General features: G+C 45.6%; 1 protein-coding gene across 9 annotated transcripts in view, besides 5 other annotated features; it reads right to left on the bottom strand.

Annotated features, from left to right (window-relative positions):
- Nucleotides 1–875, bottom strand: part of MRPL48 (mitochondrial ribosomal protein L48) — a 77,260-nt gene extending 76,385 nt beyond the window's left edge. For all 9 annotated transcript variants that reach the window (NR_134659.2, NR_134660.2, NR_134661.2 and 6 more), the window contains exon 1: nt 757–875. Coding sequence is in view for 3 of the 9 variants with exons in the window: in NM_001318499.2 (NP_001305428.1) it covers nt 757–777 (21 nt within the window). In the remaining 6 variants the exon portion in view is untranslated. The remainder of the gene's footprint in view (nt 1–756) is intronic.
- Nucleotides 662–741: an enhancer, noted in NCBI's record as "active region_5242". NCBI's record gives its function as "activates an Ori minimal core promoter by ATAC-STARR-seq in GM12878 lymphoblastoid cells {active_cell/tissue: GM12878}" and the evidence as "EXISTENCE:reporter gene assay evidence [ECO:0000049][PMID:35858748]".
- Nucleotides 882–941: an enhancer, noted in NCBI's record as "active region_5241". NCBI's record gives its function as "activates an Ori minimal core promoter by ATAC-STARR-seq in GM12878 lymphoblastoid cells {active_cell/tissue: GM12878}" and the evidence as "EXISTENCE:reporter gene assay evidence [ECO:0000049][PMID:35858748]".
- Nucleotides 8,696–9,570: a transcriptional cis regulatory region, noted in NCBI's record as "candidate enhancer chr11.4166 targeted for multiplex CRISPR interference". NCBI's record gives its function as "positively regulates MRPL48 gene expression in K562 cells {active_cell/tissue: K562}" and the evidence as "EXISTENCE:mutant phenotype evidence [ECO:0000015][PMID:30612741]".
- Nucleotides 9,158–9,517: an enhancer, noted in NCBI's record as "active region_5240". NCBI's record gives its function as "activates an Ori minimal core promoter by ATAC-STARR-seq in GM12878 lymphoblastoid cells {active_cell/tissue: GM12878}" and the evidence as "EXISTENCE:reporter gene assay evidence [ECO:0000049][PMID:35858748]".
- Nucleotides 11,323–12,189: an enhancer, noted in NCBI's record as "H3K27ac hESC enhancer chr11:73487605-73488471 (GRCh37/hg19 assembly coordinates)". NCBI's record gives its function as "activates a minimal SCP1, AML or CMV promoter by ChIP-STARR-seq in primed H9 embryonic stem cells {active_cell/tissue: H9 hESC(primed)}" and the evidence as "EXISTENCE:reporter gene assay evidence [ECO:0000049][PMID:30033119]".

Raw genomic sequence — 23,705 nt, 5'->3', positions numbered from 1 at the left:
TGTAATCCCGGCACTTTGGGAGGCCGAGGCGGGCAGATCACGTGGTCAGGAATTCGAGACCAGCCTGGCCAACACAGTGAAACCCCGTCTCTACTAAAAATACAAAAATTAGCCCGGCATGGTGTCCCGCGCCTGTAGTCCCAGCTACTGAGGAGGCTGAGGCAGGAGAATCGCTTGAACCCGGAAGGCGAAGGTTGTGGTGAGCCGGGATCGCACCACTGCACTCCAGCCTGGGCAACAGAGCGAAATCCGTCAAAAAAAAAAAAAAAAAAAAAAGAAAGAAAAGAACAAAAACCTAGTTTATTACTGCTGTTTCCTTATTACCAGGTAGCTTCACATCCTCATCAGTTCAGCAAGTCAAAACTGCATTCTTAGAAAAAATTCTGGAAGTTGATAACTGAATGCAAATATAAAATGACCTGCCCAAGGTCACACAGTTAATCGGGACCGTATCCTGGTGTCGTGATTCCCATCGCAGAGCTCTCCCTTTTCCAGAAACTGGGTGGAGAGAGTGGCATGTGGTGTGGGCGTGGCACGGGTCGGCTCGGCAGAGTTCGCCCCGGGTGGAAAGGAATCTGCTCAGCCCCTTCAACGCCAGGCAGCCGCATGTGCTGCTGGGAAGGACCTTGGGCGCCCCAGTGTCTCATCCCCGGATGTCCGCGCGCCGCCACCTCCCCGCTCTGCACCCTCCGCCATCTCCCCTCTCTGCACCGTCCGCCATCTCCCCGCGCCCCGCGTGCGTGGAATCTACGTTACCTTTTCCAAGGTTCCGCTCATCCTTTGCTGCTGCGCGGCCTCTAGCTGTGCAAACCGAAGACCGGACCCTGCAGCCGCGTTCCCAGGGCGTCTGAAAACACTGAAGGAACGGCCTTGACCAGGTGCAGCAGCAATATCCCACCGAGACTCACTCAACTTCCACATCATTTTAGTTCCGGAAGCTTCTGAAATTCAGAGTCTAGAAATTCTCCTGCTTTCCACCCTCACTCAGGTTGTCACATTCACTGCTGTTTCTCCAGAAAGAATTAATTACCATCTCTGTGTTACCCCAGTACTTAGCACACAATTCTAATTTTTCGCTTACAATATTATACACTAATGATTTGTTACCACCTCTTCTCTGTATTTGAAAGTTCTTAAAAGACTGAGATCCTGTCTGATTAATTCCTTTCAGCGTCTAGCACAGATCTGACTTTTTTGTTTGTTTGAGACGGAGTCTCGCTCTGTTGCGCAGGCTGGAGTGTAGTGGCACGATCTCAGCTCACTGCCACCTCCGCCTCTCGGGTTCAAGCAATTCTGTCTCCAAGTAGCTGGGATTACAGGTGCCCGCCACCACGCCCGCCTAATTTTTATATTTTTACTAGAGATGAGGTTTCTCCATGTTTGTCAGGCTGGTCTTGAACTCCCGACCTCAGGTGATCCGCCCGCCTCGGCCTCCTAAAGTGCTGGGATTACAAGCGTGAGCCACCAGGCCCAGCCAATCATCTCTTAAATTGAGTTTAGAAGTCAGATTTCCACGTCCTGTGCTAGATGCTGGAATAAATTAGTCAGGATCTCAGTCCTTGAGGAACTCAATCAAAATAATAGCAAAAAATAATTAGTATCTAGTAACAAATAATTAGTATCTAGTATGGTAAGTGAAATACCAGAATTGTGTGCAAAGTACTGAGGTAACACAGATACGACAATTAATTATGCTTGGAAATATAATGGACCAGGCATACCTCCTCCAGTACAGTGATTGATTATTGCCTAATAAATGCTATTGGGGTTTTAGAAGTGAAATTTTAAATAAGAAAAAAAAAATCAATCAAATGCTAGTATGTGCCAGGTCGGTTCTTTATGGGTGTATGGGTTCATTTAGTCTTTCCAATAACCCTATGAGGCTGAGGATCATTATACCCATTTCACAGATGAGGAACAGAGACAGGAAGAAGGTACCTAGTTAACATAATGTTATATAAGTGGTGAGCTGTTTCATTTCCGTGCCTGTGCTTCATCTATTTTATGGGACTGTGACTATAGGTTTGCAAAAGGGCAGGTTGGCAGCCAGAGAGTTTCTTTCCTTGTCTAGTCCAGGTAAATACAATCTAATAAGATACATGGCCGGGTGCGGTGGCTCATGCCTGTAATCCCAGCACTTTGGGAGGCCAAGGCAGGCGGATCACAAGGTCGGGAGTTTGAGACCAGCCTGACCAAAACTGTGAAACTCCGTCTCTACTAAAAATACAAAAATTAGCTGGGCGTAGTGGTGCATGCCTGTAATCCCAGCTACTCAGGAGCCTGAGGCAGGAGAATTGCCTGAATCCGGGAGGCAGAGCTTGCAGTGAGCCGAGACGGCGCCATTGCACTCCAGCCTGGGCGACAACGAAACTCCATCCCAAAAAAAAAAAAAAAAAAAAGATACAAATCCATCTTTGCATTAATACACTCTCTGGGGTAGGTAAGGTGAAGGGAAAGGGAAAAAGAAGGAAGAAGGAGACGGTTAGTCCTTTGTACGAAGATATAAGGATTCCCAAAACAACTAGAATTTTTTTTTTGGCCGGGCGCAGTGGCTCACGCCTGTAATCCCAGCACTTTGGGAGGCCGAGGCGGGCAGATCACGAGGTCAGGAGATCGAGACCATGCTGGCTAACACGGTGAAACCCCGTCTCCACTAAAAATACAAAAAATTAGCCGGGCGTGGTGATGGGCGCCTGTAGTCCCAGCTACTCGGGAGGCTGAGGCAGGAGAATGGTGTGAACCCGGGAGGCAGAGCTTGCATTGAGCCGAGATCGGGCCACTGCACTCCAGCCTGGGCGACAGAGCGAGACTCTGTCTCGAAAAAAAAAAAAAAATCTAATCCCCATCTACCTATCTAGCCTTATTTCCAGCCTTTTTTTTTTTTTTTTGAGACAGAGTCTTGCTCTGTCACCCAAGCTGAAGTGCAGTGATGTGATCTTGCTCACTGCAACCTCAAGCTCCTGGGCTCAAGTGATCCTCTCACCTCAGCTTCCCAAGTAGCTGGGACTATAGGCACATACCATTGTGCCCAGCTAATTATTTTTATTTTTATTTTTGTACAGATGGGGTCTCACTTTGTTACTCAGGCTGGTCTTGAACTCCTGGCCTCAAACAATCCTCCCACCTCAGCCTCCCAAACTGTTGGGATTACAGGTGTGAGCCACTGAGCCTGGCTGGCCTTTCCACCCTTTTCAACACAAATATTACTCCATAGCCAATATTAAATCCTGTAATTCTCCAATCATGATATTCTCTATCACACCTCCCTGCCTTTGCTCCTACAATATTTCTGTTGACCTTTCTTTATTCATTCACCTGGAAAACTCCTACTCTTCTTTCCAGACACAAGTCAAATGTTACCTTTCCTGTGTAGCCATTTCCAACCACTCCACGAAAATAATGTGGTCCTTTCTCTGCACTTCCACAGCTCATTTCTTATGCTCTCAATACAATGTATTGTAACTATTTGTTCACTTATGTATCTTCTCCACTAGATCTCCACTGGATTCACTAGAGCACTTTTAAAGGAATATTGTTCATTTTTCTTTCTATCCTCAGCATTTGGCACAGGTCATAGAACATAATGAAGCTCCAACAAATGTTGAATGAAATAATGAATGTGCGAATATTTTTAAAGTTCCTAGAAGTAAATATGGATTTTAGATTTTTATAAGATCTTGCATCACAAAAAAAGCATTGAGTACTTTGCCTTTCTGGTTTTATTTTTACAAGCTAACCTTCCTTTAAAGCTTAAAAAAAAAAAAAAAAAAAAAAACCTGTCCTGGTTCTCAGCACAGCCACATCAGAGAATGCCTTAGGGAGCAAGAGAATAAAGGGAGGCCCTTTAGAAAGACTATGTTTGATCTCTGGTTAAACTTCCTTTAAAGTAATAATTCCATGATCACCTATTATAAAAAGTTTCCCATAGTGCCAAAAGTTCTAATCTATGGCTTAAGTGGAGATATATACCTTAAGCTACCTCAAACTGAAAACTATTTTAGCTTCAGTGGAACTTTTCTGCTTCTATTTTTTGGTATGATTTTGGTACAAAGAAAATCATACTTAAAAGAAAAAATATAAAAGGCCAGAGGTGGAAGAGGACTGGCTACCTAGGAAAAGCCAGAAAGAGATGGTGCTGACTCCCCAGCCCGAACTTTACCAGGAATTTTCTCCTTGTGCAGGGTTGGGCTGAGTGAGTGGGAATTACCTAACCCTAGAGAGAGGGCGAAAAGATGATGAAAGAGGCTGCAAGAGGGAAGCTCAACTGTTCAGTAAGATCACAGAAGCCCACAGGAAGGGGCAGGGTGCTGTGGCTCACACCTGTAATCTCAGCAGGGATACTGTGACACCTGAGAGGCTATCCTTATCCACCTCTTCCCATCCCTTTCAGGTTGGTCTGCACTGAACCACTTGTTATTGCAAACATGTTACTCAACGTAAGAAAACTTTTCGACCAAGTGTGGTGGCTCACACCGATAATCCCAGCGCTTAGGGAGGCTGAGGCAGGATTGCTTGAGCCCAGAAGTTTGAGACCAGCCTGGGCTATAATGAGACCCACATCTCTACAAAACAAAACAAAACCAAACCCTTTTCTTATGGAAAAGGTCTTTGTGTTGCTGCTGTCCAAGGCCCAAATATCACACAGGTACTGGAAAACAGAAACAGAAAAACCCTAATTCCACTCTAGCAAACCACTCATAGCCTCTAGTGTAATTATCCTGCCTGGCAGCCTGGGGTTAGGAGACACAAGTGCAAATTTTACAAAATAAAAATGTGGAGATAGTTTTTGAAACACATTATTTAGAGGATAGTAATAACTCCTTGACCTAATGAGATAGGCACTTCTGACCTTCATCTCCAACTATCTGCTCTGTCTCTTCATTTGAATGCCCCTCCTCTTTACCTCCACATGTACTAGCCAAGGTCCATTTTTATTATCTCCCATCTGAACTATTGTGCTGGCGTAACTAATTGGTCTGCCAGTCTTTAGTCTCATTCCTATGCCAGTTTATTTCCAAAAACAGCTTTCTTGAAGCATATTTCATGGAGATCATGATCTAAAAAGCAAAACAAACAAACAAAAAACCTTCAATACAGCCGGGTGCAGAGGTACTTACGCTGGGGTACTCCCAACACTTTGGGAGGCCAAGCAGGAGGACCCCTTGGGCCCAGGGTTTTGTGGTTACAGTGAGCTATGATCACACTACTGTACTCTAGCCTGGCGACAAAGCGAGACTTTGTCTTCAAAAAAATTAAGAAATAATAAATGTAGGCCAGACACAATGGCTCATGCCTATCATCCCAGCACTTTGGGAGACCAAGGCAGAAGGACTGCTTCAGCCCAGGAGTTTGAGACCATCCAGAGCAACATGGCAAAATCCTGTCTCTACCAAAATATAAAAATAAAAATTAGCTGGGTGTGGTGGTGCATACGTATTTTCCCAGCTATTTGGGAGCCTGAGGGTGAGAGGATCACTTGAGTCTGGGAGGTTGAGGCTGCAGTTGAGTTGTGATTGTGCCACTGCACTCCAACCTTGGTGACAGGGGGAGACTTTATCTCAAAATAATAATAATAATATGCCAGGAGCAATGGCTCGCGCCTGTAATCCCAGCACTTTGGGAGGCTGAGGTGGGCGGATCACTTGAGGTCAGGAGTTCAAGACCAGCCTGTCCAACATGGTGAAACCCCATCTTTACTAAAAATACAAAAAAATTAGCTGGGCATTGTGGCATGTGCCTGTAATCCCAGCTACTCAGGATGCTGAGGCAGGAGAATTGCTTGAACCTGGGAGGCGGAGGTTGCAGTGAGCCTTGATTGTGCCACTGCACCCAGCCTGGGCAACAGAGCAAGAATCCTCAAAAAAAAAAATTAATAATAATAATAGGCCAGGTGTGGTGGTGGCTCACGCCTGTAATCCCAGCACTTTGGGAGACTGAGGCTGGTACATCACCTGAGGTCAGGAGTTTGAGACCAGTGTGGCTAACATGGTGAAACCCCGTCTCTACTAAAAAAAAGTTAGCCGGGCTTGGTGGTGGGCGCCTGTAATCCCAGCTGCTCAGGAGGCTGAGGCAAGAGAATCACTTGAACCCAGGAGGTGGATGTTGCAGTGAGCCGAGATCACACCATTGCATTCCAGCCTGGGCAATAAAAGCGAAACTCTGTCTCAAAAAATAGTAATAATAATAAAAGTTGCTTTTTTTTTTTTTGAGACGGAGTCTCGCTCTGTCCCCCAAGCTGGAGTGCAGTGGCATGATCTCGGCTCACTGCAAGCTCTGCCTCCTGTGTTCATGCCATTCTCCTGCCTCAGCCTCCCGAGTAGCTGGGACTACAGGCGCCCACCACCATGCCCGGCTAATTTTTTGTATTTTTAGTAGAGGCGGGGTTTCACCGTGTTAGCCAGGATGGTCTCGATCTCCTGACCTCATGATCTGCCCGTCTCAGCCTCCAAAAGTGCTGGGATTACAGGTGTGAGCCACCGTGCCAGGCCAATAATAATAAAAGTTTAAAAACCCTTCAATAGCTACTTACAGCCCTCCAATTTAACAATACGCTCCTTAACCTGGCATTTTAGCTTTCATGATCTGTCTCCAGTTTACCATTCAGCCATTCCTATTCACATGTGCATTGCATATACCACACTGATAACTGTTCAACACATTTTCCTATACCTCCTTTATATACTTTTTAATTTGTTTTATAGTTGTTTGAAGATGTGTTTTTTCAAACCACCAGACAGTGCTCCTTGATGTTCTGATCCTTGTCTGATCCCACTCTGTGTTTCTCTCAACATATTTTTAGCATCTACACATTGTAGGTATCAGAAATAATTTGTGGATGAACATTGGGCTTGCTGAAGAATACTAAGAACTTTGACTCTAAGTTTTTGATCAAAGTAGAGATGATTGTCATGATTAGCAACTCTTATTTTAGCCCTTGAGAGCCTTTTCTTCAAAAAAGTAGGGAGGTTGCTTCTTTTCTGAGAAAACACCAAATGGCGGATGACGCCGGTGCAGCGTGGGGGCCAAAACTTATGGCACGGGAGTAAATTCAGCATTAAAATAAATGTAATTAAAAGGAAAAAAAAAAGTAGGGAGGCATAATTAACTATAAAACATTTGGAAAATACAGAAAAGTAAAAACAACAACAGCAAAAATCAACACCACCCAGCCGGTCACGGGTCCTATAATGGTCTTAGATTTCATTGTTCTGCCGTACATTGTTAACGGTCTAGTTAGAGAACAATTACATGGTTATTTCCATTTTACAGATGATGAAACTGAGACTCGGTTCAAATGAATACATTATCCATTAAGTCTGGCTGCAAGGAAACCAGACCTTCCAACTTTGTTGTGGTCCCTACCCCTTTCTTGAATCCGAAGCCCCCTCTTTTTGAATCCCAACTCTTCCTGAAACTGGGCTGCTTAGCATCTCAGGGCTCTCCAACATGCCTATTTTTATGATGAAATGCGCAACAAACTTTTACCCTAAACCACTTGAGGTAACCTGCTCCTTACCACCAAAATAACTCAATTCTTCATTTAAAACAAGTCACTCTGAGTTGATAATGCTGTTTTGGAATAAAAAACTCTTCTGGCCTTAAGAAGGACTATTCTATATGCTCTGCCATATAGGCCTATGGAAATTAATATACCATTTGGCTTTTGCCACACCTCCTCCTACAATTTTTTTTCTCTCTCTCTCTCCTCTCTCTCTCTCTTCTCTCTCTCTCCTTTCTCTCCTCTCTCTCTCCTCTCTCCTCTCTTTCTGACTTTTTGCTCTGTTTCCCAGGCTGGAGTGCCGTGGTGTGATCTCAGCTCACTACAACTTCCGCCTCCCTGGTTCAAGCGATTCTCCTGCCTCAGCCTCCCAAGTAGCTGAGACTACAGGCACCCACCACCATGCCTGCCTAATTTTTCTATTTTTTTTTCATAGAGACAGGTTTTGTTTGTTTGTTTTTGAGACAGAGTGAAACTATTTGGTAGAGGCTTGGACTTGTTTTTTCTGGGGTCCTTACTCACCCAAGATGTTATGATTCTGAGTTTCTCAATTGTACTACTTTAGAACCCTAAGATCCTAAAATGTTGAAAGACTCTACAATCTTGTAATTCTTGTGGAACAACTTTGCAAAGAGAAGGTGAAGCTGTGGAATAGCCAGTTCTTAGCTGTCTCTCCTTCCCGACCTGCCCCATCTCCAAGAGGCTATCCACTCAAAGTTTATTTTTTATTTTTATTTATTTATTTATTTTTGAAATGGTGTTTCGCTCGTTTCCCGGGCTGGAGTGCAGTGGCGTGATCTTGGCTCACTGCAACCTCTGCCTCCCAGGTTCAAGCAATTCTCCTGCCTCAGCCTCCCAAGTAGCTGGGATTACAGGCGTGTGCCACCACGCCCAGCTAATTTTGTATTTTTAGTAGAGATGGAGTTTCACCATGTTGGTCAGGCTGGTCTCGAACTCCTGACCTCAGGTGATCCGCCCGCCTTGGCCTCCCAAAGTGCTGGGATTACAGGTGTGAGCCACTGTGCCCAGGCTCAAAGTTTAAATGCTCAACGGAAAAATATAAAAATCACAGTCATTCATCCATGGAATACTTTATCCTATCCATGCATTTAAAATCACAAAGAAAAACACTTAATATGCAAACGATAATACATAAGTTATACAGCATTGTCCCAATTGTGTTAAAATAGACACACAGAGGGAAAAAAAGAATGACAAAGGTTAATTATGATTGTTTCTGGCCGATGGGACAGTAAATCACTTTTGTTTCCATTACACTTTTCTTAATTTCCTAAAATATGCATATATTTTTATAATCAGAAAAAAAGGTTTTAAGCTCAAACGTGTCAGGCCACACCTGGTGCCGCGTCGTTGGGATACAGAGATGAGTCATCTCAAATGAGAGGGAGGGGCCAACAAGGCTTTGATTAGGGCTGGCTTGGAAGAGGAGGGACAAGTACTGGGTAGGGTGGGATCTGATCAGCTCAGCTCAGCTGGAGTTCAACCCGGAAGCGCTGACGGTGGCACACCAGCGGGCAAAATCCACCTCAAAAGCTGGAAATAACGTGGCAGCCCCGGCACAACAAGACCCGCCAGTTCAAGTCAACCTCACCGCCCTCTGGCCGAAGACCCAGGCCAACCCCGCCCCTTGCCTCTCCCCATTGGTCTGCTGAAGCTCGTTCGGTTCCCAGGGCCCGCCCCTCTGGGGCTGCGAGAGGAGGCGCGCTCCCTCCTCCACATGGACGCTGGCGGCCATGTTGAGTGTGGCTTGACAGGGGAGGGTGGGGCTATTCTCTGTTTCTGGCGTCGCTGACTCCATCCGACACATTCTGCAAGTGTTTCCCTTTAGTCGTGGGCTCTTGGAACCCCAAGTAAAGAGATGATTTACCACTGAAATGATTCTCACTTGGGAGCTGGGCGTTTGTGTGAAGTGCACACATCTTCCGCCCAGCCTCCGGTTCCCTGGAGGCCTGTGGGTTCTAGTTTTCCAGAGGTGATGTCATCGCAAAACCTTTGTAAGGTCCTAATGCCCGATGTTAGGATTGCAGAATCATTCAAAATGAGATCTTAGAGATTGGGTGGCTATATAATTTATTGTTCAAACTGGGATAGCTTTGAGAGTCTAGGGGTATACTATCAATAATTACAATCCACACAACAGTCATAAATGTGGACTGTTCTGGAGTTTATAGTCACTCTACTTAAAGTCACTCTATAGTCAGCTCGTTTTTTAAAAATTGTAGTCAAATATATATGAGAAAAATTTCCATTTTAACAATATGTGTATAATTCAGTGGCATTAATTACATTCACAGTGTCGTGCAATCATCGTCATTATCTATTTCCAAAATTTTTCATTACCCCAAGCAGAATCCATTGCCCAGTAAGCAATAACTCCCCATTAACCTCTCCTACTAGCTCCTGTTAATCTCCAGGACCCTTTCTGTTTCTATGAATTTGCTATATTTCACATAAGTGGAATCACACAATAGTCGAGGTTTTCTGTCTGCATAGTTTCACTTAGCATAATGTTTTCAAGGTTCATCTATGTTGTACCATGTATTAATACTTTATTTTGCTTTAGAGTTGAATAGTATTCCCTTGTATGAATATACCACAATTTGTTTATCCGTTCATCTGTTAACAGACACTTGGGTTGTTTCTACCTGTTGGCTATTGTGAACAAAGCTGCTACGAACATTTTGTACAAGTATTTGAAGGTCCCAAAACATTTTTTAAGCCATTTTAGTAGTTTGAAATGGTATATTTGTGGTTTTGGTTTGCATTTCCTTGATGATTAAAGATGTTGTGGCTGGCGTGGTGGCTCACGCCTGTAATCCCAGCACTTTGGGATGCCGAGGCAGGCAGATCACAAGGTCAAGAGATTGAAACCATCCTGGCCAACATGGTGAAACCCTGTCTCTACTAAAAATACAAAAACACCGGGCGCAGTGGCTCACGCTTGTAATCCCAGCACTTTGAGAGGCCGAGGCAGACAAATCACAAGGTCAGGAGATCAAGACCATCCTGGCCAACATGGTGAAACCCCGTCTCTACTAAAAAAAATACCAAAATTAGCCAGGCGTGGAGTCGCAAGCCTGTAGTCCCAGCTACTTGGGAGGCTGAGGCAGGAGAATTGCTTGAACCCAGGGGGCAGAGGCTGCAGTGAGCCGAGATCATGCCACTGCACTCCAGCCTGGGCAACAGAGCGAGACTCTGTCTCAAAAACAAACAAACAAATTAGCTGGGCATTGTGATATGCCCCTGTAGTCCCAGCTACTCGGTAGGCTGAGGCAGGAGAATTGCTTGAACCCGAGAGGCAGAAGTTGCAGTGAACCAAGATCGCGGCCACTGCATTCCAGCCTGGTGACAGAGTGAGACTCGGTCTCAAAAAAAAAAATGTTGAACATCAGTTTTATTTATTTATTATTATTATTTTTGAGACGGAGTCGCTCTGTCGCCCAGGCTAGAGTGCAGTGGCGCGATCTCGGCTCACTGGAAGCTCCGCCTTCCAGGTTCACGCCATTCTCCTGCCTCAGCCTCCCGAGTAGCTGGGACTACAGGCGCCCATCACCACGCCCGGCTAATTTTTTGTATTTTTCATAGAGACGGGGTTTCACCGTGTTAGCCAGGATGGTCTCCGTCTCCTGACCTCGTGATCCGCCCGCCTCGGCCTCCCAAAGTGCTGGGATTACAGGCGTGAGCCACTGCGACCGGCCCATTTTTATTTATTTATTTATTTATTTATTTATTTATTTATTTATTTATTTATTTATTGAGATGGAGTCTTGCTCTGTCGCCCAGGCTGGAGTGCAGTGGCGCGATCTCAGATCACTGCAATCTCCGCCTCCTGGGTTCAAGTGATTCTCTTGGCTTAGCCTCCTGAGTAGCTAGGATTACAGCCATGCGCCGCCACGCCCAGCTAATTTTTGTGTTTTCAGAAGAGACGGGGTTTCACCACGTTGGTCAGGCTGGTCTCGAACTCCTGACCTCATGATCCACCCGCCTCGGCCTCCCAGAGTGCTGGGATTACAGGCGTGAGCCACAGCGCCCGGCCCTAATTTTTTGTTGTTGTTTATATTTTTTGTTGAGAAGGGAATCTCACTATGTTGCCCAGGCTGGTGTCAAACTCCTGGGCTCAGGTGATCCTCCTCCCTGGGCCTCCCAAAGTGCTGGGATTCCAAGCATGAGCTACTGTGCTCAGCTTTAAATACTTTTTTTTTCATTATTTCGAGTTTGCTTTATGCTTAATATTAATCAATAGTAGTTTGCTGCTGGGAGCCGTGGATCACACCTGTAATCCCAACATTTTGGGAGGCCGAGGCAGGAGGATCACCTTAGGTCAGGAGTTTGAGACCAGCCTGTCTAACATGGTGAAACCCCGTCTCTACCAAAAATACAAAAATTAGCTGGGCATGGTGGTGCATGTCTGTAATTCCAGCTACTCTGGAGGCTGAGGCAGGAAAATCGCTTGAACCTTGGAGGCAGAGGTTGCAGTGAACTGAGCTTGATTGAGCCACTGCACTCCAGCCTGGACAACAAAGCGAGACTCCATCTCATTAAAAAAAAAAAAAAAAAAGAGAGGATGTCTGGCAATCTTATAAATACTAGAAATAGAAAGCATGACAGCACACAACATTTTTTCTTTTTTTAAAATACATTTTATTATTATTATTTTAAAATAGAGATGAGGTCTTGCCATGCAACAGAGGTTGGTCTTAAACTCCTGGGCTCAAGAGATCCTCTCACCTCGGCCTCCCAAAGTGCTAAGATTACAAGCATGAACCACCACTCCCAGCCACAGCATCTTTTCTTAAATGAGAAGTTTTAAAAGACTCAATTTTAAAGAGAGATTTGTGTTAAACACTAGGAAAAACTTCCAGATAATGAAGAACCGGAACTGGGGAGAATGGGAGAGTAGAGAGAGATTCTTCACTATATGTACTGAGGAAGAAGTTGATGTTGATATGCCTAGAAGCTGACAGAGATGAAGTCCTATGGATATTCTCTGAGCTCAGTAATTCTGGAAATGGAATTTGCCTAGAGACCAACTGGGGCCCTTTATCTGCTGTGCTGCTCTCTTTCCAGCTTCACTCCAATGCCCACCTGTTGTGGAACTTTTGTACTAAGCAATCTGCCACAATTCCTACTTCTCAAACAAAAGGGAATAATTGTCTACTAGCTATATAGAGTCTTACCTCAAACAGAATATATCTAAAACTAAACTTACCACCTTCCTCCCCTTCTTGACCTTGTGGGTCTCTTTAGGTACTATGTTTTTTATTTCCTTTCCTTAGAACCACATTTCTTTCTTTCTTTTTTTTTTTTTAATTGATCATTCTTGGGTGTTTCTCGCAGAGGGGGATTTGGCAGGGTCATAGGACAATAGTGGAGGGAAGGTCAGCAGATAAACAAGTGAACAAAGTTCTCTGGTTTTCCTAGGCAGAGGACCCTGGGGCCTTCCGCAGTGTTTGTGTCCCTGGCTACTTGAGATTGGGGAGTGGTGATGACTCTTAACGAGCATGTTGCCTTCAAGCATCTGTTTAACAAAGCACATCTTGCACCGCCCTTAATCCATTTAACCCTGAGTGGACACAGCACATGTTTCAGAGAGCACAGGGTTGGGGGTAAGGTCATAGATCAACAGCATCCCAAGGCAGAAGAATTTCTCTTAGTACAGAACAAAATGGAGTCTCCTATGTCTACTTCTTTCTATGCAGACACAGCAACAATCTGATTTCTCTATCTTTTCCCCACATTTCCCCCTTTTCTATTCGACAAAACCGCCATCGTCATCATGGCCCGTTCTCAATGAGCTGTTGGGTACACCTCCCAGACGGGGTGGCAGCTGGGCAGAGGCACCCCCCACCTCCCGGACGGGGCGGCTGGCCGGGCAGGGGCTGCCCCCCACCTCCCTCCCTGACGGGGCAGCTGGCCGGGCGGGGGCTGCCCCCCACCTCCCTCCCTGACGGGGCAGCTGGCCGGGCGGGGGCTGCCCCCCACCTCCCTCCCAGACGGGGCGGCTGCCGGGCGGAGACGCTCCTCACTTCTCAGATGGGGCGGCTGCCGGGCGGAGGGGCTCCTCACTTCTCAGACGGGGCAGCTGCCGGGCAGAGGGGCTCCTCACTTCTCAGACGGGGCGGCGGGGCAGAGACGCTCCTCACCTCCCAGACGGGGTCGCGGCCGGGCAGAGGCGCTCCTCACATTCCAGATGGGGTGGCGGGGCACAGGCGCTCCCCACATCTCAGACGATGGGCGGCCAGGCAGAGATGCTTCTCACTTCCTAGACAGGATGGCGGCCGGGAAGAGGCGCTCCTTACTTCCCAGACTGGGCAGCCGGGCAGAGGGGCTCCTCACATCCCAGACGATGGGCGGCCAGGCAGAGACGCTCCTCACTTCCCAGATGGGGTGGCGGCCGGGCAGAGGCTGCAATCTCGGCACTTTGGGAGGCCAAGGCAGGCGGCTGGGAGGTGGAGGTTGTAGCGAGCCGAGATCAGGCCACTGCACTCCAGCCTGGGCAACACTGAGCACTGAGTGAACGAGACTCCATCTGCAATCCCGGCACCTCGGGAGGCCGAGGCTGGCAGATCACTCGTGGTTAGGAGCTAGAGACCAGCCCGGCCAAGACAGCGAAACCCCGTCTCCACCAAAAATACATGAAAACCAGTCAGGCGTGGCGGCACGCACCTGCAATTGCAGGCACTGGGCAGGCTGAGGCAGGAGAATCAGGCAGGGAGGTTGCAGTGAGCAGAGATGGCGGCAGTACAGTCCAGCTTCGGCTGGGCATCAGAGGGAGACCGTGGAAAGAGAGGGAGAGGGAGACCATGGGGAGAGGGAGAGGGAGAGGGAGACCATGGGGAGAGGGAGAGGGGGAGGGGGAGGGGAGAACCACATTTCTTAAATGAAAGAGTCTTCACTTCTTGCCTCCATTTCTTCATTTTGAATTTACTTCTAAATCCAAATCTGGTGTTTTTTCTCATTACTTCATTGAAACTTCTCAGACCCAGGCCACCAGTAACCCTCTTGAAAATACTGTTTTGGCCAGGTGCGGTGGCTTACTCCTGTAATCCTAGCACTCTGGGAGGCTGAGGCAGGAGGATTGCTTGAGTACAGGAGTTCAAGACCAGCCTAGGCAATGTAGAATAACCCTGTCTCTACTAAAAATACACAAAATTAGCCAGGTATGGTGGCTCGTACCTGTAGTCCCAGCTACCCAGGAGGCTGAGGTGGGAGAATCACCTGAGCCTGGGAGGTCAAGGCTGCAATGAGCCGAGATCATGCCACTGCACTCCAGCCTGGGCAACCAGAGTGAGACCCTGTCTCAAAAAAAAAGAGCCAGGCTTGGTGGCTCACGCCTGTAATCCCAGCACTTTGGGAGGCTTAGGCAGGCAGATCACCTGATATCAGGAGTTCGAGACCAGCCTGGCCAACATGGTGAAACCTCGTCTCTACTAAAAATACAAAAATTAGCTGGGCATGGTGGCAGGTGCCTGTAATCCCAGCTACTCGAGAGGCTGAGGCAGGAGAATTGCTTCAACCCAGGAGGCAGAGGTTGCAGTGAGCCAAGACCATGCCATTGCACTCCAGCCTGGGTAACAAGAGTGAAAAACTCCATTTCAGAAAAAAAAAGGAATAACATTCTTTTGAGGTATAATTTACATTCCACAAAAGTCACTCATTTTCAGCATACAATTCAGTGATTTTCAGTTAATGTGCAGAATTGTGTGATCATCAACACAGTATAATTTTTAGAAGATTTCTATCACCCTAAAAAAGATTCCTTACTGGGCACAGTGGCTCACGCCTGTAATCCCAGCACTTTGGGAGGCCGAGGCGGGTGGATCACCTGAGGTCAGGAGTTTGAGAGCAGCCTTACCAATATGATGAAACCCAGTCTCTACTAAAAATACAAAAATTAGCTGGGTGTGGTGGCATGCAACTGTAATCCCAGCTACTTGGAAGGCTGAGACAGGAGAATCACTTGAACCTGGGAGGCGGAGGTTGCAGTGAGCCAAGATCGCGCCATTGCACTCCAGCCTGGGCAACAAGAGCAAAACTCTGTCTCAAAAAAAAAAAAAAAGATTCCTTGTCCCGATTTGCCCCATTTGCAGTCACTCACCTTTGATAATAGGATGCTTTTTAGTCTTTGACTTATTTAACTGCTCTGACGTATTTCAGTCTGCTGACTGAGGCTTTCCTTTTGACACATTTTCTTCCTTGGCTTTCTTGTCACCACTTTCTCTCCTGGTTTTCCACCTAACTTTCTGACATTTTTTTCTTCACAGATTACTTCTTTTTTTTTTTTTTTTGAGACAGAGTCTTGCTCTGTCACCCAGGATGGAGTACAGTGGCGCAATGTGGGCTCACTGCAGCCTCCGCCTCCCAGATTCAAGCAATTCTCCCACCTGAGCCTCCCGAGTAGCTGGGATTACAGGGTGCGTCAATCACGCCCAGCTAATTTTTGCATTTTTAGTAGAGACAGGGTTTCACCATGTTGCCCAGGCTGGTCTCAAGTTCCTGACCTCAGATAATCTGCCCGCTTCAGCCTCCCAAAATGCTGGGATTACAGGCGTGAACCACCCCGCTCGGCCATACTTTTTCTGTCTGACTTTAAATATTGCTGTTCCATAGGATTCTATCCTGGCCTTCTCAGGCTACACTCTACTTAGGTGATACATCCATTCTCATTACTACAGCTGCCACATATAAGCTGATGACTCCAAAATCTCTATCTACAGCTCAGACATAGCCCCTGAGCTCCAGATTGATATGATACAGTAGTGAAAATACTTATCATTAACAGTTGGTCATTTCTTGGGCTTTGGCCATAATAAAATGCAAATAGAAAACTCACCAAATTCATATTCTTCTGGAGGAGATAATTAAGATTTACCCATATCTGGCCGGGCGCGGTGGCTCACGCCTGTAATCCCAGCACTTTGGGAGGCTGAGATGGCCAGATCACCTGAGGTCCAGAATTCGAGACCAGCCTGACCAACATGGTGAAACCCTGTCTCTACTAAAAATTACAAAATTAACTGGGTGTGGTGGCGCATGCCTGTAATCCCAGCTACCTGGGAGGCTGAGACAGGAGAATCACTTGAACCTGGGAGGCAGAGGTTGTGGTGAGCTGAGATCATGCCATTGCACTCCAGCCTGGGCAACAAGAGCAAAATTTCGTCTCAACAAGAAAAAAAAAAAAAAAGATTTACCCATATCTTAGTTTTCAAAGTGGTGGATGATATATGAAATATATGCATGATCTCTGTGGTCTGTAGACCATAATATACTCTTCTTAGCAGATCTAATAAGTTAAATAAAATTATAAAGTACCTGGGCCTGGATCAGTGGCCCACGCCTGTAATCCCAGCACTGTGGGAGGCCAAAGCTAGAGGATTTCTTGAGCTCAGAAGTTCAAGGCCAGCCTGGGTAAAATAGTGAAACCCCATCTCTACCAAAAATACAAAAAAACGAGCCGGGCATAGTGATGCGTGCCTGTAGTCCCAGCTACTCAGGAGGCTGAGGTGGGAGGCTTGCTTGAGCCCAGGAGGCAGAGGTTGCAATAAGCCAAGATCACACCACTGCACTCTACCCTGGGTGACAGAGTGAGACCCTGTCTCAAAAAAAACTATAAATAAATAAATAAAGTACCTATACCCCCATTACTTACTTTATTCTTACTTATATTTAGTTTTTTTTTTAAGGCTGAGCATGGTGGCTCACACCTAAAATCCCAGCACTTACAGAGGCTAAGGTAGGAGAATCACTTGAGGCCAGGAGTTCAAGAACAGCCTGGGTAACATAGCAAGATCCCATCTCTGAAAGAAAAAATATGCCGGGCGCGGTGGCTCACGCCTGTAATCCCAACACTTTGGGAGGCTGAGGCGGGTGAATCATGAGGTCAGGAGTTGGAGACCAGCCCCGCCTCTATTAAAAATACAAAAATTAGCCGGGCGTGGTGGCAGGCACCTGTAATCTCAGCTACTGGGGAGACTGAGGCAGGAGAATCGCTTGAACCTGGGAGCCGGAGGTTGCAGTGAGCCGAGATCGCGCCACTGCATTCTAGCCTGGGTGACAGAGCAAGACTCCATCTCAAAAAAAAGAAAAAAGAAAAAGAAAAAGAAAATATATATATATATTAACATGTTTGCCTCACCAGTAGAATGATGTAACCTCAAAAGTAAAGATAAGGCTGGGCACAGTGACTCATGCTTGTAATCCTAGCACTTTGGGAGGCCAAGGCAGGTGCATCACTTGACGTCAGGAGTTCAAAACCAGCCTGGCCAATGTGGTGAAATCCGGCCTGTATTAAAACTACAAAAAAATTAGCAGGGCATAGTGGTGGGCACCTGTAATCCCATCTACTTGGGAGGCTGAGGCAGAAGAATTGCTTGAACCTGGGAGGCGGAGGTTGCTGTGAGCCAGGATCGCACCACTGTACTCCAGCCTGGGTGACAGAGTGAAACTCTGTCTCAAAAAAAAAAAAAAAAGTAAGGACCAAATATTTTTCTGCTTTATATTTCCAGTAGAAAAGCAGAGCACCTGGTACACAGTAGTTAAAAGTGTTTGTAGAATGAATAAATGAACAAATGAATATTTCAGGACAAAGGATACTCGAACCTGAATTCGTGTGTTTAATGTAATGAACACTGGCTTTGGGCTCCAAATATTATATTTCATCTTTTCCTCATAACAAAATTACAATTTTAATGCAAAAATCTATCTTTCTCCACACAGCCATAGATCTATCTATCCCAGTCTTAGTAATCCCATTTCTCTTGCAGTGACAGATTTAGGATGGGGATATGAAGCAATTCTGGCCAGTGAGATGTAATGGGGAGTTTGCTGGGGGATTCTGGGAAATGTTTTTTTTTTTTTTTTTTTTTTTTTTTACTTACAGAGATACATAGATGGCATCTCCTTTCCTTGGACTTTATAGGATATAGATGTGTCAGCTTGAACTATAGCAGCAATCTTGTGATTATTGGGGAAGCTAGCATCTAAGAGCAAAGTCAATACACTGAGAAAGGCAGAGCAGAAAGACAGAACAACCTGGTTCTTGTAGACATTGCTGGGTAGGAGGGAATTAACCAGTCCTGGAAGCTTCGGACTTCCCTTTTTTTTTTTTTTTTTTTTTTGAGACGGAGTCTTGCTCTTGTCACCCAGGCTGGAGGGCAACGGCATGATCTTGGCTCATTGCAACCTTCGCCTCCCAGGTTCAAGCGATTCTTTCGCCTCAGCCTCCTGAGTACCTGGGATTACAGGCGCCTGCCGCCACGCCTGGCTAATTTTATTTTATTTTATACTTACTTATTAATTTTTTTTTTTGAGACAGAGTCTCGCTCTGTCGCCTAGGCTGGAGTGCAGTGGCGCGATCTCCGCTCACTGCGAGCTCCGCCTCCCGGGTTCACGCCATTCTCCTGTCTTAGACTCCCAAGTAGCTGGGACTACATTGGACTACAGGCGCGTGCCACCACGCCTGGGTAATTTTTTTTTTTTTTTTTTTTTTTTTTTTTTGTATTTTTAGTAGAGACGGGGTTTCACCATGTTAGCCAGGATGGTCTCGATCTCCTCACCTCGTGATCCGCCCGCCTCGGCCTCCCAAAGTGCTGGGATTACAGGCGTGCTCCACCACGCCCGGCCGGCTAATTTTTGTATTTTTAGTAGTGACGGGGGTTTTGCCATATTGGCCAGGCTGGTCTTGAACTCCTAACCTCGTGATCCTCCCATCCCGGCCTCCCAAAGTGCTGGGATTACAGGCGTGAGCCACTGCACCGGCCAGGACTTCTTTATGTGATTTGCCCTATTGTTGAAACTTTTTTTTTTTTTTAAGATGGAGTCTCCCTCTGTTGCCCAGGCTGGAGTGCAGTTGCGCAGTCTTGGCTCACTGCAACCTCCGCCTCCCGGGTTCGAGCAACACTCCTGCCTCAGCCTCCCTAGTAGCTAGGATTATAGGCGCTCACCACCACACCCGGCTAATTTTTGTATTTTTAGTAGAAACGAGGTTTCACCATGTTGGCCAGGCTGGTCTCTTAACTCCTGAGGTCAAGTGATCCTCCTGCCTTGGCCGCACCAAAGTGCTGGGATTACAGATGTGAGCCACAGAGCCCGCCCATTTAAATTATTTAGAGTTGAGTTTTCTGTTTCTTCCAGCTGAAAGGTTCTGAAATGATAATGTTAGTAAATGGATCACATAGCAAATAAACTGTGGGGTTTTTTTCTTTATTTTTTTGTTTTTTTTTTTTTTTTGTTTGTTTTTTTCCCTCATCAAAAGATAGTGGAGTATATATATAAAGGGCACATGTCAACCCTATTGTAATCTTTGTTGTCTGTATTGGACTACAGCTACGATGTAGGTGTTCTTGCAAGCCTCCTCTGGAAAGACTGCACACTGTCCTTGATAATCTCCGATCTGGACAACAGCAATAACAGCGTGTCAGGTAAAGCCAGGAAGACAGTTGGTATGAAAAGTGATTTGGAAATTTTTTGTCTTTATTGATGAAAATAATGCGAATTGGTTTTGTTTTGTTTTGGTGGATTTTTTTTTTTTTTTTTGAGACGGAGTCTCGCTCTGTCACCCAGGCTGGAGTGCAGTGGCATGATCTCGGCTCACTGAAATCTCCACTTCCCAGGCTCAAGGAATCCTCCCATCTCAACCTCCTGAGTAGCTGGGATCACAGAAGTGCACCACCATGCCTGGCTAATTTTTTGTATTTTTGGTAGAGATGAGGTTTCATCATGTTGCCCAGGCTGGTCTAGAAATTAATGTGGGCCGGGCCCTGTGGCTCACGCCTGTAATCCCAGCACTTTGGGAGGCTGAGGTGGGCAGATCAGGAGGTCAGGAGATCGAGACCATCCTGGCTAACACAGTGAAACCCTGTGTCTACTAAAAATATAAAAAAATTAGCTGGGCATGGTGCCATGCGCCTGTCCCAGCTACTCGGGGGGCTGAGGCAGGAGAATTGCTTGAACCCGGGAGGTGGAGGTTGCAGTGAGCCAAGATCGCGCCATTGCACTCCACACTCCAGCCTGAGCAACAAGGGCGAAACTCAGTCTCTTTTTTAGGCATATGAGACTGCCTGCCGTTGTTATGGAAGATGCTTGGGAAGAGATGGTTGTTTATCAATTCCCCTGTCTTTTGGCAGCACCTCACCCTGGTACTTTACTATGCCTGGTTAACTGAGCCTAGAACTTTTTTTTTTTGAGACGGAGTCTCACCCTGTTGTCCAGGCTGGAGTGCAATGGCGCGATCTCGGTTCACTGCAACCTCCGCTTCCTGGGTTCAAGCGATTCTCCTGCCTCAATCTTCCCAAGTAGCTGGGATTACAGGTGCCTGGTACCATGCCCGGCTAATTTTTGTATTTTTAGTAAGGGTTTCACCATGCTGGCCATGCTGGTCTCGAACTCCTGACCTCAGGCTATCCGCCCCGCTTCGACCTCCCAAAGTGCTGGGGTTATAGGCGTGAGCCACGGCGCCCCGCTGCTGAGAGCTTCTTATATTCAGTTTCACCATAGAAAGGGATGGGTTTAAAATGCTGTTCATACAGTCCTTGATACAATTCCCTTGTTTTTGTCCTCGTTTTACCCCCTACCTTATATGGTACCTGGTATTTCACATTCCTGAGCAGAATTTCTGCAGTTCCGCTTAGCTGATTGGCTTGCTTCTTGTTAATTCATCCTTCAGTAAGCACTTTATATGTTCTGTTTAGTCAGTTACCATTGCTCTATCTTTGTCCCCCATCTTAAAATATTATGGCTCTGGGTTACAGATGTCAAATCCAGAGTTTGCATTTTAATTTCTTTATTCTCGTTTTGGAATGGTTTCAGAGAGAGAAGACAGAACATCTTTATCTTCCTAAAACCGGTAGTTTTTTCATTTTTCCTGTGATGTTGGGGCTTATTATCTCACTTCATAGTTTGAGCTACAACTTCTATAATTATTTTGATATCTTTTGATTTTATATAAAATAAAGTCCTAGTTACTTTGTGTTAATTGAAAAGCCGAAGAAATATTCACAGAAAGATAGTTTCTCTTGGCTTCTTTGGCAAGTTACAATTTGGCTGTGCAGTCTGTTGGTATTTCAGTGCAAACAGTGTTGGTCTCACTTTTCTATCCTAAGATGCTCTGTTCTTTATATAAACAGCAGTAGAGGCAGTTGTTCTCTTCTACTCTGAGAGTGATTATCACTTAGTAGCAGGTGGAGTGATTCATTCTCTTGTACATCTTAGAGGAGACTTTATTATTTGTGGGGGATAGAGTGTGGGGAGAGGAGAGCTCCAGCAATGTGTCAGATTTTATACATTCTGGACTAGCATAAAAAGCAGCAAGTTCTTCCCCCACTGCAATTTCAAAGCCTGGAAGTAACACCTCACTTACAAGGCTTTGAGAAATCACATTATTCATAATGGGGACCATGATTCACATGAACAGAACAAAATGGAATTATCAAAAATAGATTCTGTAGATCAATCCGTAGCAAAAATATCTTCTGACTTAGCTATTAATTGGCTATAATTACAGGAAGGACCATTCCATTTAAGTTCTAACACCTTCTCCACTTTGACTGAATAATCTTTATTCTCCCATGGCATGTCCTTATAGGTCAAAGTATTTGGAAAACAGGTTTTAACATGACTCGTCTCCCCCTTTATTTTTTGTAGTCTTTTAAAAATGAGACTTACTTCAACATACCTTGTGTTAATTGTACTCATTTAACTGGTCACCTTGAATTACTGAGCATTTGTCATTTTTATGCTTTGTATATTGACCCATTATTATTTTTAGTAGCAATGATTATAATAACCTGCAGTGTGGGTTAGAAGGGCTTTGCATTTGATGGAATTTGAATTCCTGCCAGAGCTATTATTTGTTTCAAATGTGAGCAATATGATTTCAGTCCTTTTACCTGTACAGTTTTTCTCCTTCTATTGATTTCCTGCCTCTCCAACAGTAATAAATCCCTTTTTAGGGAGTAGTAAACAGAAAAAGGCAGTTCCAGTGTGGTAACTACTACTTTATATATACACATACAATATTGAGTGCCTAATATTCAAGGAACTATGCAAGGTGTTTTAAGGGATCTAAATATGAGAATGTGAGCTGCAAGTAACAATAACAAAGAAATACAAAGACACATAAAAGCATTATTAAATATAAAGACATTTATTATGTTACTAAAAAGAAATCTAGGCGGCCAGTTCCAGGGCTGGTACAGCGGCTCAATGATGCCTTTTAGCTTTCTGCTTAGCCGTCATCAATGATTGGCTTTTTTCATTAGAATTATATATTAATGTTCGGCCGGGTGCGGTGGCTCACGCCTATAATCCCAGCACTTTGGGAGGCTGAGGCGGGCAGATCACGAGGTCAGGAGATCAAGACCATCCTGGCTAACACAGTGAAACCCCATCTCTACTAAAAATACAAAAAAATTAGCCGGGCATGGTGGCAGGCGCCTGTAGTCCCAGCTATTCGGGAGGCTGAGGCAGGAAAACGGCGTGAACCCGGGAGGCAGAGCTTCAATGTTCAGAAGAGCTATCTTAGCTCTAAATATCATGTCCTTACACAGCTACATCAATGGCAGAAAAATGGCAGTTTTTTCTCATTTATTCCTTTTCATCAAGGAAGAAAATATGTCTCTCTATCTCTCTTCTTCTCTTAGAATAAAAAAAGCCTCTAGCACATTTCCTTCATCTCCCACTGGCTCAGATGGACTCATGTGCCTATAACTTAGCTGAAGGGAGGCTGGAAACACATCTGTCATTTCTAGTATATATGGTGGAAGTATGTGTGTGTGTTATGTGTGCATTGCTGGATATGCAACCACTAGTGTCTGTCACTAAGAATAAGATGAAATTGACTGGGCGCAGTGGCTCACGCCTGTAATCTCAGCACTTTGGGAGGCCAAGGCAGGAGGATCACTTGAGGTCAGGAGTTTGAGACTAGCCTGGCCAACATGGTGAAACCCCGTCTCTACTGAAAATACAAAAATTAGCTGGACATGGTGGCACACTTCTGTAATCTCAGCTACTCAGGAGGCTGAGGCAGGAGAATCGCTTGAACCCAGGAAGTGGAGGTTGCAGTGAGCCGAGATCGGCCACTGCACTCCAGCCTGGACAGAGTAAGACTCTGTCTCCAAAAAGGAAAAAGAGAAATTTCAGCCAAGCACAGTGGCTCACGCCTGTAGTCCCAGCACTTTGGGAGAGCAAG

The sequence above is a fragment of the Homo sapiens genome, chromosome 11 (assembly GCF_000001405.40).
Source record: "Homo sapiens chromosome 11, GRCh38.p14 Primary Assembly".
Classification (NCBI taxonomy): domain Eukaryota; kingdom Metazoa; phylum Chordata; class Mammalia; order Primates; family Hominidae; genus Homo; species Homo sapiens.
Note: the sequence above shows the minus strand (reverse complement) of the source record. Positions and strands in the feature narration are given on the sequence as shown.